The sequence below is a fragment of the Homo sapiens genome, chromosome 4 (genome assembly GCF_000001405.40).
Source record: "Homo sapiens chromosome 4, GRCh38.p14 Primary Assembly".
Taxonomy (NCBI): domain Eukaryota; kingdom Metazoa; phylum Chordata; class Mammalia; order Primates; family Hominidae; genus Homo; species Homo sapiens.
This window is the reverse complement of record NC_000004.12, coordinates 41,662,113-41,680,270: the sequence shown is the minus strand read 5'-3', so window position 1 is coordinate 41,680,270 and position 18,158 is coordinate 41,662,113. Positions and strand designations below refer to the sequence as shown.

Genomic DNA, 18,158 nt, shown 5'->3' with positions numbered 1-18,158 from the left:
GGTCTTTTAGAACCTAAATGACATGACTGTTTTAAAGAGCTTGATGGGATTCTGCTGTCAGTAAAGAGTCAGACACAGCCACATGCATCCGCATGCCACAGACACAGAGAGTGTTGCTAGACTTTGAGGAATTGGGATGACAAGGTCAAATTCCTTCTTGGGAATTTCCTACCTCCTCATAGTATCTGCGTTCTTCCTCTTCCACCTCCTTTTGGGCCTTTTCCCACTCTTCTTTCAGCTTGTCCTGCTCCTTCTGGTATCTCTCCTGTTATGGAATTTCCATAGATTGTTCTCAACTGACCATTGCATACGTCATCGGGAATTTTCCCCCCTAAACCACCATGTACAATATGTTGCAAGATTATCTTCTTCTTGTTAGGATTCTGAATTTAATTGATTCATGCAATAAAAAGGGAATATGGTTTTGTGGCACTCAAACATTTTGGGAACATAATCCAATGGACAGCAGTATTTTCTGCTGCTCATGTTTTGCTTACAGAAAGAGAAAAGACGGAAAGGTGGAAAGCCTCTAAAATCTTCCTTCACTCCAGTTTTGTTCCAGGTGTGCTAAACCAATAGTTTGGTTTTATTGGGCCCTTTGGAGATGAGTTTTGCCATTCCACTAATAGAAATGCATTGCTGCGAGGAGAGTGTAATAAAAGATGAAAAACCCTGAAGGTTTATTAGACACACAATACAGAAAGGTCCACCGTGGACAAGATGATAATTAGCTGAATAGCTGAATTACTCTTTGCTTGTGACTATTCTACCAAAATAGAGTCTTCCTAGCTTTAAGTAACTTCTGAATTAAGAGTAGTTTTTAAACAGTCCATTAGAGTACTTCTTCAGAACTGCCATTTTTGTTTTCAGAAATAATGCAGCAGAAGTCACCATTTCTGGGGGGAAAAAAGAACACACTAAGAATAAAAGTGGTGTTTAAAATGTGATTGGAGTCCCTGATGGCTGATTAGAAGAAATGAATAAATGGGGATTAAAATTAATGCATAAAATGAGAAGTGACACTCCTGATGCCTTGGGAATGGCATCCTGACATGACAGAGACAAAGGAACCATTTATGTGTGGTTCACGCACTCAGATATTTTAGGCTGACTATTGTCAATCCTCTCTTCGAGGCTGAAACAAGTCTGCTTCTGTCTTCATGGGGAAGCCACTGAGATTTCCTCCAGGCATCACCTGTTTCATTGGTATCTTAGGAGCAGGAGGACTTTCTTGGCATTCTCTGGAGCCTGGTGTTCTTATTAACTCTAACAAAATCATTGTTGATCAACTCATGGCATGCTCTTTATTTCCTGGTAAAAATTGTTACGAAAACCAAGTATTGTAAAGTTTTAGAGAGGGACTTCAGGGGCACAGGAAGGAGACCTTAAAACTACATAAAAGCTGAAAACAAGTAAAGCTTCTTAGGCTTCTTGGTTCTAGGAACTTACATCACGTGTTCCCCTCACCAACAGGATGAACTGATGATGCAGAGATGCAGAGAGTGAAAGATGCAGTATTTCACTCACACACACACACACACGATCTCTCTCTCTCTCTCACACCCTCCCCTACAAACACCTTGGCCCATAACTCACGATGCCATACCAGGCAACAAGTTAGAAACACAGGAGCAATACAAAGGCCTGGTGCCCGCCTCTGTTACCAGGGTCACCCCTTGGCATGTAATAGAGCACCACAGTGAGGAGCACATTTGCCTGACTTCACTTTGTGGAAATCTGACTCTTGGCTGTTCACCATTTAGCTGGGGAATGAGCACCTAACTCTCCCAGAGACGAGCAGATGGTCAGGGGTGCACGTCTCACAATGGACCTCAAATCCCAGTAGCCCCCAGATTTTGATGAATCGGGTTCCTACTAACAGTTTGGTATTGAAGGCTTAACCTTCTGCAAGTTACAAAATGCCAAACTTAACAGGCAGAGCCAAAACCACACTACCACCTACTACTGCTATCTAAATCACTGTCTACCACCTCATCCCTGGGAAATAAGCCAAAAGGATTAGGAAAAAAAAAAAGAAAAGAAAAAGTAAGTAAAATAAACTTGCATTAAGCATTGCTTTCTACGCACTGCATGTTCTCACTCATAAGTGGGAGATGAACAATGAGAACACATGGACACAGGGAGGGGAATACCACACACTGGGGCCTGTCAGGGGTTGGGGGGCTAGCGGAGGGATAGCATTAGGAGAAATACCTAATGTAGGTGACGGGTTGGTGGGTGCAGCAAACCACCATGACACGTGTATACCTATGTAACAAACCTGCCCGTTCTGCACATGTATCCCAGAACTTGAAGTATAATTTAAAAAATGAACAAACGTCAAAAAAAGCATTGCTTTCTACAAGCAGCAGAAAGTCATCAAAATTAATGAGATTTAACATTATTTTCCTTTATTTATTTATTTATTTATTTTTGTAAAATCAGTACTAGTGGGAATGTAGTAGAAGGAGCATGAGTTTTAAAGTCATCCAGACTTGGATTTGAATCTGGTCTTGACACCTATTAGTTGTGTAACCTTGGGCAATTAACTTAATTTCAGTGAACTTTACTTTCTTCAATTGCAAACAAGGGCTAATAAGACATACTCTGAAGTGCTGTTTGAGGATAAATGAAGTAAAAATGTCAAGCACTAACCTCAGTTCCTGGCACATCCCAGGTACCCAACATGGGTTAGTTCTTTAGGTTGCTAGGTTACCTTTTGAAGCCCTGTTAATCCATAAAACTGGCATGAAGTGGGAGTATGATGAACTTACTATCAGAATTTTTCTAGAATTGATAATCAGTAGCTTTTACCCAAAGGTAGAGCAAACATTTCTTTTTCTTTTCTTTTTTCTTTTTTTTGAGATGGAGTTTTGTTTTTGTCGTCCAGGCTGGAGTGCAATGGCGTGATCTCGGCTCACTGCAACCTCCGCCTCACGGGTTCAAACAATTCTCCTGTCTCAGCCTCCCTAGCTGGGATTACAGGCATGTGACACCACGCCCGGCTAATTTTGTATTTTTAGTAGAGATGGGGTTTCTCCATGTTGGTCTCAGGCTAGTCTCCAACTCCTGACCTCAGGTGATCCACTCACATCGGCTTTTTTTTTTTTTAGACATTCTCACTCTGTTGTCTAGGTTGGAGTACAGTGGCATGATCTCAGCTCACTGCAACCTCTGCCTTCTGAGTTCAAGCGATTCTTCTGTCTCAACCTCCCGAGTAGCAGGAATTACAGGTGTGCATCACCATGCCCAGCTAATTTTTGTATTTTTGGTAGAGACGGGGTTTCGTCATGTTGGCCAGGCTGGTCTCCAACTCCTGACCTCAGATGATGCACTCACATCGGCCTCCCAAAGTGCTGGGATTACAGTCGTGAGCCACCACGCCCAGCCCTCAAAGGTAGAGCAAAAGTTTCTATTTAAGAAAGTAGACTGAGGCTAAATTTTATTTCACGTGTATGCTAGCAGAGAGCTTTTAGATAATTCATTCCCACTGCTACTTGACTGGAAATTGACTGGCAACTAAGGAGGTGATGAATGGGTAGACTGGCCCTTATCCATACTTGGAGGGTTTTTTGGTTCAGTGTTAATATGAATGGTTTTTCATCATGTTTATTATTGCAGTCTTTGGCAGGAAGAATGAGACACAGGGTACCCTGTTACAAGGACACAAAATGAACTGACTTGAGACTCACTAACTTCCGAGAATAACTTGATTCCATTCATTTCCTGTGCTAAAAGTCTATTTAATGCAATGGAAAGCAAGAGGACAAAAAAGGAAAAACAAAAAAAGCAGCAAACTCCATCCTACCTGGAGCAAACGTTCCTGTTCCTGTTGCCATTTTTCCTGTCGCCTGCGCTCCTCTTCTGGGTCCCATGCCCAGAACTTAAACTGCTTAGAAAAATGAAACCATGATCAGAATTGAGCCATGTCCTCAAGGGACAGGCCGGGTGAAGAGTAGACAATTGGCCTCTGGCCTGGCACCCAGATTGACACACAGGAGCAGAAGGCTTCATATATCTAAACATCCTCTTTGGTGGCAGAAACCATTTTTTAATCTTAGTCCCTCTTTGGTTTACTTCCAAGACGCTGGTATGATTCTGTGAATCTTTTTGGAGCTAATGAAAACACAAAGTAATTAGCCACTGGCATTGGAAGGCTTTGCTTCATTTCTCTTAGAAGTGATTTCTCTTAAATGCATTCATGCTTCTGAACCTAAGGTGCTCATTCTGCATATTGATCCTGGGTCCAAGCAAACGAGACCAGTTATTTTAGCAGAAATGCATTTTGTAAGAAGTGTTGTTTGCCACGCTATAAAAACTAATCTTTTATACTACTGTTGCTTTTCCATACCACTTTTCCCTACAGTGGGTTGTTTAACTCACCAATGCTCACCAGTACCACCTAAGATCCAGGCAAGCAGATCACTTGCCCTGGGGCCCGCATGACACAAACACTCAAGCTCAAAGACTTACTTCCTTTTTGTATTAATAAAAGGTTTTTGCAAGTTTGGGAACCAAGTAAATAATGAGGAATAACAGAGAAAAATCCATGAACCGAAGCAGGTGCCCAGGCCACAGAATATGAGACTGGGAGGGTACAGGTGGGGGGTGGGGGGAAGGGAAATCACAGCCTGCCCCCAGGAAACCAGGAAAAGAGGGGCTGCTGTGTTTAAAGTCGGCTGCCCCAGTCACCCAGAGTAGGTGCCCAGGCAGACCAGGGCACAATAACTGTGCTCCTCCCTTCCCTTTGTTCTGATGGGGTAGGACAGGGAAGCAACTGCCTGGGAATCTTAAGTTGAAAAAGCAAGGCACGGGTGGGGAAGTTGACGGGGGATGGGAAACAGGGTTGGGGTGGGGAGGGGTGCAGGCAAAATCTATGTACCCTGGTAGCCTGGGAAGATGAACAGGGTCAGTCCTATCCAAGGTTTTGATACATCCAGTTAGTGCCCAGGGTACCTGGGCCAGCCCACCTCCCACTCTGCCTGGCCCCCAACAGATCCACATTACCATTCAGGTGCATGGCGGGTGGGCTGGCCCAGGGAAGTATCTTCAGGCAGAGAATGCAGGCCAGGCTGTGGGCAATGCTTGATTTATAACTTCATCAATATTTAGAACTTTAATATATTTGGACAAATGAAACTTGGGCCTCATTTTGTACTCTTGCTGCTGTGCTTCCTGCAATTGATTGGGATGGCCATGATGCTCACAGAATAGTCAAACCCAAGTGGGCCAATAATCTAGGGATACTAGCTTATTGCTTCCTGCTTGCCACTCCTGAGTTTCACACTGCACATTAGCATATTACAGGCTCTTGGAAGTTATGCAGGGGGAAAATCATTTAATTGTGCATACAGATGGTCCCCAGCTTAGGTGGGTTAACTTAACATTTTCTCAAGTTTATAATGGTACAAAAGCAATATGGAGTTGGTAGAAACTGTACTTCAAATACCCAAACAGCCATTCTATTTTTCACTTTTAGGATGGTATTCAATAAATTTCATGAGATATTCAACACTTTATCATAAAATAGGCTTTGTGTGAGATGATTTTGCCCAATTGCAGGCTAACATAATGTTTTGAGCACGTTTAAGGTAGGCTAGGCTGAGCTATAATGTTCATTCAGTAGGTTGGGCATATCAAATGCAGTTTTGACTTAAAGTATTTTCAACTTACAATGTCTTTATTGGGCTGTGACCCCATTCTTAAGTTGAAGAGCATCTGTAATCTAAAATTTCCCAAACTCCCTTGGATGACCATAAATGTTATCCAAATGTGGTTATACCAGATGGGAAATTCTATCGGAATTTAATGGTGTTGGAAGTTGGCTCCACCTGTCATTGTTCCAGAACTTCGAGGTGGTTTAAACATTCAGAAGCTCTTCCAGGGGCATGGCCCCTCTTTGTCTTTTGAGGGAAAAGGGGATGTTTATGTGAATAAAGCCATACAAAAAACACTGAGGAAACTCCAATAGTAGGAAAATAAGAGAAACAATTAGGAATTATTTAATTTCTAAATTTCACTAGGCGGTGCTCTCAGGAATAAGTCAAGTAAGGAGTGGGCAGATAGGAGGAGGAAGTGTGGGGTGGGGGGATTGAGCACAGAAAATACAGAATATGTGTTAAAAGGCAACAGAGGAAAGCAGTGGGTATTTTAAGAGGAGGATAAAGGGGAAGAAACCAGCATGATAAACAAGAGAGAATGAAACAATGATCTTGCTCCTTCTTTTGCAGATAATTTGCAGATTATGGCCCACTGACTGTGGGCCAGGGCGGGGTTACCAGCTAGCCAAGTGGCCCAGCCTCATGGAGCTTACACCTGAGTGTGTGTGGAGTGGAAAAGTGACCAATATATGCATATGACCAGAAGACAGTGTGATAACTATCATAAGAGATGTAAAAGGTGCTAGAGGAAGTCAGAATGGACAGCATTTAACCCACTTTGTCCTACAATTTACCTGTTTACAAGTCCATATCTTCCTCTGGCCTAGGGATTCTTCAGGAGGCAGGAAGAGCCCCTCATCCTCCTATCTACCCCAAGACCTTATATTTTTAGGCCCTCAACAAATGTTTGTTGAATAAATGAATGGAATCCCTTCATGCTGGGTAATGCATCTCCTACCATCAGAGTCCCTTTCTTTCATAGTCCCGAGGGCCTCTGGTACTCCAAGACTGACCAAAAATAGCCAGAGTCTACGGAGGCCAGCATAATCTAATGCTTATCTCCTCTTGAAGCGCTACTTATTTCAAGTTTCTTTTATTTTCTGTTCTATGATGAGACATTTACTATCAAAAGCACATGAAATTTTCAGAGCATTTACTTAAGTAGGCCAGTGATTTGTCTCTTTCTTATTCTATTTTCCTTAAACAAGAAATGCGAATGTGTTTCTTTGGAATGCCCTTCCTCTCCACCCCTACCCAGGGGGCATGAACAACTGACATCTTTGTTCCAAATGCAATTTAAAATGGAAATCTTCAGATCTGTGCCATGGATGCCAGCTTTGGGATCGTTCTGGGGTTCCCATCCATCATCAATGAACTCAGCTTCCCAGGAAACTCAGGATTCCCAGTATTGGCTTGGGACTGAGCCTCCACAGATAGTCCCTAGTTTTGTACTGTGGCTGGGGACATCAAGGGTTATGCAACAAGTGATGGATCCCTTCTCTGTTCTGCAGAGGCACTTAGAACTCCCTAAGTGAGACAATTTACCTACAGATAAGAATTGATATTGACTATGGTGGGCCTCTTGGATTAGCTATTGGGAGAGGGGGAGGATTTATTTACATATCAGCCACTGTGCTAGGGGCTTCTGAATAATTATTTCAATTAAGGCACATGACAACTTCAAAAGAAAAGTACTGTCATCTTACTGTACGGTCAAGGAAGATGAGGGTCAGAGAAGTTATATAACACCTTCAGGGCTACACAGCTAAATCCAGAATCAAAGGCACAGTAGTGATTATGTGGCTGAGCCAGGGTTGCTCATGGGCAATGCCACAGTTGGTTGTGCCACAGAGAAAGTCTCCAAATCTAATGGGAATTCCAGAGGGCGAACAAGGCCTGAGATTAGAAATACCAGTTCAGATGCCATGCAGCAGCAAGGAATGTCCACAGCACCTTGTGTCTTATTTTAATTAACAAATGTTTTCTTATTTCATTAAAATACAAAATAGAAAGCAACATTACAGTTATTATTGGTCAAATACTCATTATGAGAAGGGGTGCAAAAATGAGAGTTTGGGTCTCTTGGAGAGTTCAGGCCAGGTCCTATCTGCCAACAATATACTATGTTCAAGTATTATCCTCATATTAAAAAATGAGGTACATTTAAAAAAATGTATCTATAGAAATTGTCAGTTTTAATACTAATTCTTCTATTCTATTCTATTCTTTTTTCTTTTCTTTGAGATGGAGTCTCGCTCTGTCACCCAGGCTGCAGTGCAGTAGTGTGATCTTGGCTCACTGCAACCTCTTCCTCTTGGGTTGAAGCAATTCTCCTGCCTCAGCCCCCTGAGTAGCTGGGATTACAGGTGCCCGCCAGCACACCCAGCTAATTTTTGTGTTTTCAGTAGAGACGGGGTTTCACCATGTTGGCTAGGTTGGTCTCGAACTCCTGACCTCAAGTGATCCACCTACCTCGGTCTCCCAAAGTGCTGGGATTACAGGTGTGAGCCACCATGCCAAGTCTGTCACATTCATTTTAATTGCCTCTTAGATTTTGCTTTCTTATCACTTATTTCCAGGCACAGTAACAATTCCATATAATGATAATCCATGTCTTTATAATTTACCCAATGGCGTTATATATGACTTTTAATTATTCTTTTACAAATCAATTGTTTGGGTCTCAATTTTGGTTGAATACTCTTTTTTTTTTTTTTTTTTTTTTTGAGACGAAGTCTCGCTCTGTCACCCAGACTGGAGTGCAGTGACACGATCTCGGTGCCACCACACCTGCCTAATTTTTGTATTTTTAGTAAGAGACAGTGTTTCACCATGTTAGTCAGCCTGATCTTGAACACCTGACCTCGTGATCCACCCGCCTCACCCTCCCAAAGTGTTGGGATTACAGGCGTGAGCCACCGCCTGCACCCGGCCTGAATACTCTTTGAGCCAATCAAATGTTATAAATTAAAATCACACTAACTCATAATCTTATTCCTTAAAATGAGTGACTTACAGGTGTCATAACAGGTGACTTCTCACTGCTTGGAGAATCCACTGCACAGAAAAAAAAGAAAGAAAAAAAAGATATGAATGTGAGTATTTTCTAATTGTCTTTGTTTTTGACCTATCAGTGGAGTATAGTTCCTACATCAGCTTTAAACCAATTTTGTGTGTGTGTGTGTGTGTGTGTGTGTGTGTGTGTGTGTGTGTTTGGTAAGTCAAGAACATTAGAAAATCATAATAAAGCAGACAACCCCTGTAGCAGGTTGCACCCATCACCAAAAGAAGTTTAAACTACTATCAAATGATTGATCACATCAATTAACACCAGGTACTAGACTACAGGAAGCAAAAACTGTTCCTATTAGTACTGATTCTTAGTGCACCTTGCATTGTGGCTTGACTGAGCAGTCCCCTCACTGTCTGGCATGGAGAAGTACCATACAAACAGAGGCCAGATGTCACCCAGGAAGCAAACACAGTGACACAGTTAACAAGAGAACTATGATCAGTTTCTGGTAAATGCTTTTAATCTTTTTTTTTTTTTTTAAAGGCAGGGGACTCTCAAGAAAATGATGAATATTATTATTTCTTTGAATTCTTGAAATCAACATAAAGTTGTGTGATTCCTCTCCTCCTACCCCCAATTTTAGCATAACTGGTAGTAATATAAAAGAACTAGCTCTTTGCTAACTGTGCATAAGAAATAATTTTTTCCCCAGAAATCAGAAATGAAGACAAGTGCCACACATCATTGATCGCCCCAACATGGATTTTCGCACAAAAGAAATACAGCTACCCAGTATGCAGTTTACCTGACTGGGAGAAAAACTGGGATCGTCGCCAAGAGTTCTGAACTCTAAGCGGAACACTGGCAGTGCCAGGCGACTCTAGATCAGATGGCAGAACAGAACAAACAGAAAACCATGAAAACTGGGGTGAGAACTGAATAGAACCATGCTCCCAAGTACTATAGGGAGTTTGGCTCTAGTCAATACCAGAATTGAGAGTCAGTAAATCTACAGTACAAAATGTCTTAATAACACACATATAAAACCTGAAGACATGTACAAAATCAACAGAACCAGGACAGTTTATGCTATTGTCTTCTTTGGTGTTAGATGAAATTTCACAGGGTCATACTTAATGGTGATAGTGTTAAAATGTTAAATCTCAAAATGATAGAATGATATACTATGCAAGAACAAAAATGTATAATTTGTATTGCTTTTTGGAGAACACTAGAAAAGTATAAAAGGCAGCAAAGATGGGTGGTTTAATTACTATTTCATATACATTACACATCATAAAGGTTATGTATAGAAGTCTGTGGCAGAAGTTTTTTGTACGTATAAATAAAGGTTGAGTATATGCCTTTCTGTGGTGGCTCATGGCAAGGATTTGTATCCTTAAACTCTGCTGTTGTCGTCATTTTCAATAAAAAAATCAGTTTTTAATGCGCACATATTTTACTGAAACATCAGTTTGAGATATCTTTCTGCTGCTGAGAGGCAGCTAAGAAAAGGGAATTTGTCACTTTCAAATGTATTTTATGACTGTTTTCAGGGCATTTAAAAACTGAATGCCTGGGTGTGTGTGTGTAAGGAAAACGTGTGGAACATCATTAGGGTCGATCAGCAGATCTTCAGTGACCTGTATGACCAGTCTATGAATGGATGACTTTATAGAAATGGGGGAGAGACCACTTTCTGGGGGAGAAAGTGTTAGGTGTGGCTCCAGGATACCTGATCCTAACCCTAGAGTTTCATTGGACTTGATGCTTGACTTCAGATCAGTCCCTTAAATGGGTGCTGGGCAGAGACCTATGCCTCCCCCATTTCCCCATCCCAATTGAAGACAAATCATGTATTTTAAGGTTACATTTATTAGAGGTCTCTGGCTTCTTGAAAGATGGAGACTTTATAAATGTCAAGCAATTATTACTGTTATTTTCATATCAATCAGTGATATTTTTGGTGCACAATTTAAATAAATACTTGAGGCCAGTGGTTTTCAGAGTGTGGTGAGATGTGCAGCATGAGCATCACCTGGGAACCTGTAAGAAATGCAAATCCTCTGGCCCCAGCCTAGACCTACTGAATGAGACACTGTGAGAGTGGGCTCCAAGCCCTACAGGGACCCTGGCACACAGGGTTTGAGAACCACAGTGAAAAACCCGATCTCCACAACATGAACACTCTTATTTTAAAGAAAGGATTCGAGAGTAGTTTATTTCTGCCTGACATCTTGCTTTATTCTTTTACTCCTCCTGCTGCTATTCTACAATTACTAGAATACATTATGAATGCTTATTCTGGGCCAGGTATTGAGCTAAACACTTTTTATGGATTCTCCCATTTGGTATTTCTAAAATCCCTATGAGGTTATTACTGGTATTATTTCTAGTTTACAGGTGCTGATTAGAGATTAGGGGAAATCTGATGGGTAAGGTCACACAGCTAAGAACTAGACACATGAAAATTTGAACCCAGGCATTTTGTCTCCAGAGCATGCAGCTATAATTACAGTTTCCATGAACCAGATGAAAGTATTCATACGGTTTGGCTATGTCCCCTCCCAAATCTTGAATCAAAGCTCCCATGATTCCCACATGTCATGGGAGGGACCTGGTGGGAGGTAACTGAATCATGAGGGTGGGTCTTTCTTGTGCTATTCTTGTGATAGTGAATAAGTCTCACGAGATCTGATGGTTTTATAAAGGGAAGTTTCCCTACACAAGCTCTCTCTTTGCTGGCCACCATGTAAGATGTCCCGTTGCTCTTCCTTCATCTTCCACCATGACTGTGAGGCCTCTTCAGCCATGTGGAACTATGAGTCAATGAAGCCTCTTTCCTTTATAAATTACCCAGTCTCAGGTATGTCTTTATCAACAGCATGAAAACAAACTAATACAAGTATACAACTGGTGTATTCCAAATACAATTCTATCTTAAAGAATACATTTTGAAATGTTTCAGTACTCTACTAAATTTTATTTTTTAGTCATTCGACTTGGGTAAAGAATGAAGTAAAGTTTCTCAATTCAGCAGCACATTTTACAAAATCAAAATGCCTCACAATAAGTAATGAAATGTGTAAATTTATAAGAAAACAAAACATGGCTTTAAAATGGCTTAAAATATTTATTCCCTCTCTATACCACTTATCTACACAATTACAAAGTACTAGAAATAGGGCAGAATTAAAATTGGTCCAAATATGGCCATTTGCTGGCCCAGTTGTGACACTTTATTTTTAATTCCCTTCAGGACAGTAGGACGGACAAATTTAAGACAAATGCTTTGAAAACAGTATTAAACTTGTTTCCACATTAAGAACCTAGTATCCATCAGCACATGTACCAGTTAATTATTGCCAAGAGTTCCCTGTTATGTAGATAAAACCCAACTTATCTGCCAAACATCAATAATAGCTAATGGAAGCCAACTCAGATTCTGCCAGTGGCTCAAATAGCTGCCCACCCTTAAAAAGAAAAGTAAAAATAAGCTAAATCTACAAAACACACTGGAGAAAGTCTGTTAAAAAAGAAAAACAAGAAACCCTACAGTTCTTGCCTCCTGAACTCTGGCTGTTTCTTTTTTTAAAAAATGTTTATATTTAAAATTTTTTTTTTTTTTTGGTAGCGACAAAGTCTTGCTATGTTGCACAGGCTGGTCTCAACTGCTGGCCTCAAGTGCTCCTCCTGCCTCGGCCTCCCAAAGTATTGGGATTACAGGTGTGAGCCACTGCATCTGGCCCATTTCCACATCTAGAGAGAGATCTCACAGCAGTAAAACTCAGCGGTCTAGTTGTTTTGAAGCATAGTCCCTCTGGGTTGTGGAATTCTCAGAACCCATCCTCCACTGTTCACATCCCTCAGGGCCCTTTCTGGTGGTCATGGGCACCTGGGATTCCCACTAGGATAAAGGGATTCAAATTGGGTTCTTAAAGAGTAAAGGGGTGAATTCACAACCCTATATATGGTCTACACAGTACTTGGGGAATTTTCAGTGGTCAGTGCCATTTTAAGACCTTCTTATAGGCCCTAAATGCCCACGTTTCTAGAGGCAACCCCTTCCCACATTATATCAAACACATTAAAATACATCAAACATATTAAAATATATCCTCAGTATGTATGTGTTAAACATTTTTAAATCTTTAGTATTATGTATGTGTATTACACACACACACACGTTTCTCATATATATATGAGAATGTAATTTATGTAATACACACACATAAAGATTAAAATGTTTGTTTATAACCTGTTTAATCTATGATGGTGAATGATTTCTCAATAATCATCATGCACCCAGGAATTATTGTGGAGTAAAAAAAAATAAAGCTTTTTCTCAAAATTACTGTCAAATTAAATGGACATTTATGAAGACTAGAATTAACAGTGAAATATACATAATATTAAACTTTCTATTAAGTACATTAATTTATGATTTTATGACTTTTTATCTTTTTATATTTTGGAGATAATACAAATTTTTTTTTTTTGTCACAGCTCTGTCACCAGGCTCGAGTGCAGTGGCATGATCTCAGCTCACTGCAACCTCAGCCTCCTGGGTTCAAGCGATTCTCCTGCCTCAGCCTCCCAAGTAGCTGGGACTAAAGGCGCATGCCACCACACCCAGCTAATTTTGATAATACAAAATTTTAAAGCTCTAACACTTGTATAGGCTCTATTGTGCCTATAGTGCCTGGCTGACCAAATGGCCTTGGCAGCTAGGGTTCCTGGTCTGCTCAAATAGAGAATCCGGCTCCAGCTTTCCATTCTGAAGTCATAAATTCAGCTATCACAGACTCTGGCAAACACCCTGGCTAAAGGAATAGCAACATAAAGGACGTAATCTTCCTTTAAATTAAGTAATAGTTTACTACAGATGGGCCCAGAACATGCAGACCTAAAATAAAACATGTCCTCTTTACCTTGAGAATTGAGATTTGGCAAATGTAGTTGGTTGGCTTCAGGCATTTTGTCCAGAAATGGAAATGTCAGCGTTGCTTCGGGTTCTGGAGATTTTGGCTTTACCACCTGGACAATGGAAAACAGGTATAAATATTGCAAGAACTGTCCATTGATAAATGCACAGGTGACACACAATTTAAGGATCCATGGCTGTTATAGAAGTCATTCAGTTCAAACAGTTAACATTTAAATTTAAACATTTCATTTTTTGTTTCTTCCCTAAAACGCTTTCATCCTTCTCTACATTAACAGAGCGTCAATTTTTTAGATAAATCAAACATGAGCGTAAAAACGTAATGACCACTTTTCTCCAAACCAGAAGACAATATTACATCTTTGGAATTATACATTACTCTCTTATTTTCTTATTGAACAATCACAAATTCTCTTCATGGTACCACACAAAACTGAATCTGTAATGTCAGGAGATTTAGATGTTCCACATAAGATAATTAAAACAAATCTTACTCCATAAGTGCTAAACATTAAAGTAGTATTACTTTTCAATGGATATTATTCTAAAGACATTACATAACCCCCCACAAATTTATGCAAAGCACATTAAAGACAGTATACTTTGCCTGCTGACAAAGAAACATTATTATAAACAACCACTGTCGAACAGTGCCTTAGTATCTGATGCCCTTAGGGAATTTTTGAGGCATGTTGGACTACTTGTTACTACTTGTAAATAGTTCCAAAATTACAGACTTTAAAAATTCTTATGTTTGCTTTGTAAAACAGATTTTTCTTGTTATTGCTACTTAATTTTGTTTCTCCCTAATATGAATGACCTTTAGTAGAAACACCCTTCTTCTGGTTTGTTGCTTCTGATTAGCTGATTGCTGAAAGACCAGATTACCAAACTTATTAAAACAAAAATGTCTAAAATAAGCATTGGTTGACACTGTGCATAGGTCTGAATGAGGAGCGTGGCTGTATAAATTTATGTTTTTTTCAGCTGCTCGCAGGACCTTCTCTGATTCACTCTTTGGCTGGTGGCTGTGTTCCCTATAGATCAATGACCTCAGGGCGAGTGAGACCACAGAGCACTTGTTTCATCATATGCTGATCCCTAATTTGGTCCTCAGAATAAATTAATGTTAGAATTTATCCTCAGAAGGAATTTTTATGAATAATATATTCAACTCTAAGAGAATCTTAAAGAAAACTAATCACCTCATTCTGCATTACAGAGGTCAACGAGGTGTCCAAATGAACGTTGGTGCTACACAGCAAATGATAAGGTCTAGCCTTCCCAAAGCTGACAACCCACCAGTCATTAACCTCATAGCATTTCCTTGTAGTGGAGGCTGGCAAAAACATGTTTCAGTAATGCCTGGTTGTAAATGAAACAGTTAAGGGTCATCAGCAATGATCAAAATGACCGCTATGTAAAAAGGTAAGCCTGTAAGCATGGGTGCTTTGCTTTATAAAGGAAACACTCTCAAGTGAAATCAGGAAATAAAAGCTGTTGCAATCACAGTGGCCACCATTCGCCCTTTATCTAAGAGCTAGCCGTACAGTAAGAAAGGAAGAAAAGGGAGAAATTCACATAGTCTAAGTGAGAAAAGTGTTTGATTCAAAGACCATGATTCCATTTGCTCATCAGCTGGCAGGGGTTCTTATCCTGGAGTCAACAAAACAGTATTCAGGGGCTATATATATATTTGGCACCACATGATACCAAGAATAACTTGGTAATCCTGTGTATTTTATTTTACGCTTAAAAAATATTCTGAGAATAATGTTTACCAGATGACCAAAAGGCACAATGCACAAAAACACACACACGAACAAACTGAAGAAGTCCTGAAAACACTTTTTTCCATAGTAGGGCAGGTGTGACTCTGGTGATCCACAGATGAACTCCAAGATGAGGTTCCACAGATGAGGTTCGCAATGACTGCTTTTTACTTAGGGTATTCATTCTGTTCAAGTTATATGTTTTACTTGCAATGATACAGATTTTTCCTTTCAGTTTAGATTTAAGTGGGAAAAGCAAGTAAATTTGGAAGGGTAATAAATAATAGTAACTAGTGTGATGCTGATAAAACGAAACCTGCAAAGGTGGGAAATTCTGCCTGCCTCCCAACGTTTGACTCCCAGTTTAGTTCCCCTTTCCAGACCTGCAGACCATTAATTATCTATAAAAATGAAGAATAGCTAGGGTCTGAAATATTGAAAACGCATCAAGGCAACAGGCATTTTAGAGGCTCTACCAAGGATACAGAATTCTCAGCTCCTAAGGCCAGGGAGTGCATCATGTTCACTGTTGACTATCCAGTACCTAGCACAGGGCCAGGCATGACATAGTAGGTGCACAGCCAATACTGGTTGAGTAAATGATGAATAAACTGGAACTACAAGTGGCAGATTTTTCACTTTAAGGTCATACCCAAATTGAGGGTCCATTCTGAAAGGTGGTACACCACTACGGATAGTCTTCCAGTTGTGCAAGTCCGTAGTGGTGGCCCATTAAAATTACCTGGGAGCTTTAAAAAATACAGATGCCTGGGCTCTGCCTCCACAGATTCTAATTTATTTGGTCTGGAATGGGCTTGGATTGTTTTGTTTGTTTGTTTTTGAGATGGGGTCTAGCTGTGTCGCCCAGGTTAGAGTGCAGTGGTATAATCACAGCTCACAGCAGCCTTGACCTCTTGGGCTAAGTGATCCTCCCACCTAAGCCTCCACAGTATCTGGAATTACAGGCACTCACCACCATGCCTGGCTAACTATTATTATTATTACTATTTTTTTTTTTTTTTTTTTTTAGAGATGAAGACTTTCTGGGTTGCCCAGGCTAGTCTTGAACTCCTGGGCTCAAGTGATCCTCCTGCCCTGGCCTCCCAAAGTGCTGGGATTACAGTTGTGAGCCACCACACCCAGCTAGCTTGTTATTTTTTAAATTCCCAAGAGTAATCAAGGTTGCGAACAACTGGTGTAACTGATGAATATTTTTAGACTCTGTACCTGAAAACAAATCAAACTAATGTGAATGAGATGAGACTCTAAACAAGGAAGAAACTTTAATAAAAACAAGACTTTAAAACCTATTATATCAGAATAATAATTTTCTAGGTTTCTTGTTATCCAAATCCAGTGGCATCAGAATTACCATGGCTAACAAATAGATGATTATTGGAGAGAGACTAGCCAGTAAGCTGACAGGTTAAAAAGCAAATAAGCAAACACACACAGCAAACTAAAACCTAACTGCAAGGCTTTAGAACTTATATTACACTTTTCCACAAAGAATAGCCTGGCCAACATGGTGAAACCCCGTCTCTACTAAAAATATAAAAATTAGCTGGGCGTGGTGGCAGACGCCTATAATCCCAGCTACTCGGGAGCCTAAGGCAGGAGAATCACTTGAACCCAGGAGGTAGAAGTTGTGGTGAGCAGAGATCACACCGCTGCACTCCAGCCTGGGCAACAAGAGCAAAACTCCATCACACACACACACACACACACACACACACACACACACACGAAAAAGAAAAACTACAGATTAAAGATAGGAAAAAAGATGAGGAGAGAAATAAATCTTCATTATTCACAACTGCCACAGCAGCAGCTAGCTGTAATATGGGGCCATGTTAACTTGTGGGTTTAACCGCTTTCCTCCACTCTGCACTTCACCTTTTGTGACAGCACCAACTCCACCTTTCCACTCATTTCATTTTCTGGTTTCTTCTGGTCTTTTTCTTCCGACACATCATTCTTCAGCTGGGGGCTGGAGGGAAATTCCACAAAGGCCACGGTCGGGCTGCATCGAGTCACAGTTGTTGTAAAATGCTGTGGTTCTGCAATGGAGTTACATCCAGAAACGTACAGAAGGAAAAGAAAATCAAATATCTATAGGACCATTTATTCTGCAATGCCATGAAGTACATTCAGTCCATATCCCGTCCTGGCAATATAAGCTGAATGACAGTGTGCTCAGAGATATAAAAGAGCCTAAGATGCTGGAATTCCCAAAGCTCTTTCATGGTATTGAACAACAAGCAACACAAATCACGTCCTATAACCACACTATGAAGAACTTAAGTTTTTAGTAAGGGTCACGGTTTACATCTGAATAACACCACATGGAACAGAATGCTGACACGAAATATATAATTATGACAGCTGGGCTAGATAAGAGAACATCTACAGGTAGTTTCTATCCCAGTGAATGAGCAGCAACCTGATGCTTCCTTTTTTTGTATTTCAATGCTCCATTTTAACATCAGAATTTCTTAATTGGAATGTGTTACGGATTGTGGGGTATATGTATATAATGCAATGAAAATAAAGTGTTCTCTGATACATAAAGAAGAATTAGGTTCACTTTAGAAGGGGTGGAAAAGTCACTACCTAAGGGGGCATATCAAAATGTGAAGGCACAATCTAGTTTGAAAAAGTAAATGCTATTATTTTAAGTGATATTTAATTTATTTAAAAATGTTACCTAAAAATAATTTGGTAATTGACAAATTATGTTTCTCAAGTGGTAAACACTGGAGAAAGGC

At 40.3% G+C, this 18,158-nt stretch overlaps 1 protein-coding gene across 54 annotated transcripts in view; it reads right to left on the bottom strand.

The window, feature by feature from the left end:
• The window catches only part of LIMCH1 (LIM and calponin homology domains 1), a 340,438-nt gene that overhangs the window by 19,774 nt on the left and 302,506 nt on the right, over positions 1 to 18,158 (bottom strand). For 16 of the 54 annotated variants that reach the window (XM_005248058.2, XM_005248060.2, XM_006713996.2 and 13 more), the window contains 5 exons: positions 17,287 to 17,450; positions 13,605 to 13,710; positions 8,677 to 8,717; positions 3,809 to 3,889; positions 173 to 265 (listed from right to left, as the gene is read on the bottom strand). In XM_005248058.2, the coding sequence (XP_005248115.1) occupies positions 173 to 265; positions 3,809 to 3,889; positions 8,677 to 8,717; positions 13,605 to 13,710; positions 17,287 to 17,450 (485 nt within the window). Of the gene's footprint in view, positions 1 to 172; positions 266 to 3,808; positions 3,893 to 8,676; positions 8,718 to 9,478; positions 9,554 to 13,604; positions 13,711 to 17,286; positions 17,451 to 18,158 lie in introns of all 54 variants that reach the window. The other 38 variants (XM_005248057.2, XM_017007895.2, XM_047449834.1 and 35 more) reach the window with 6 other exon arrangements.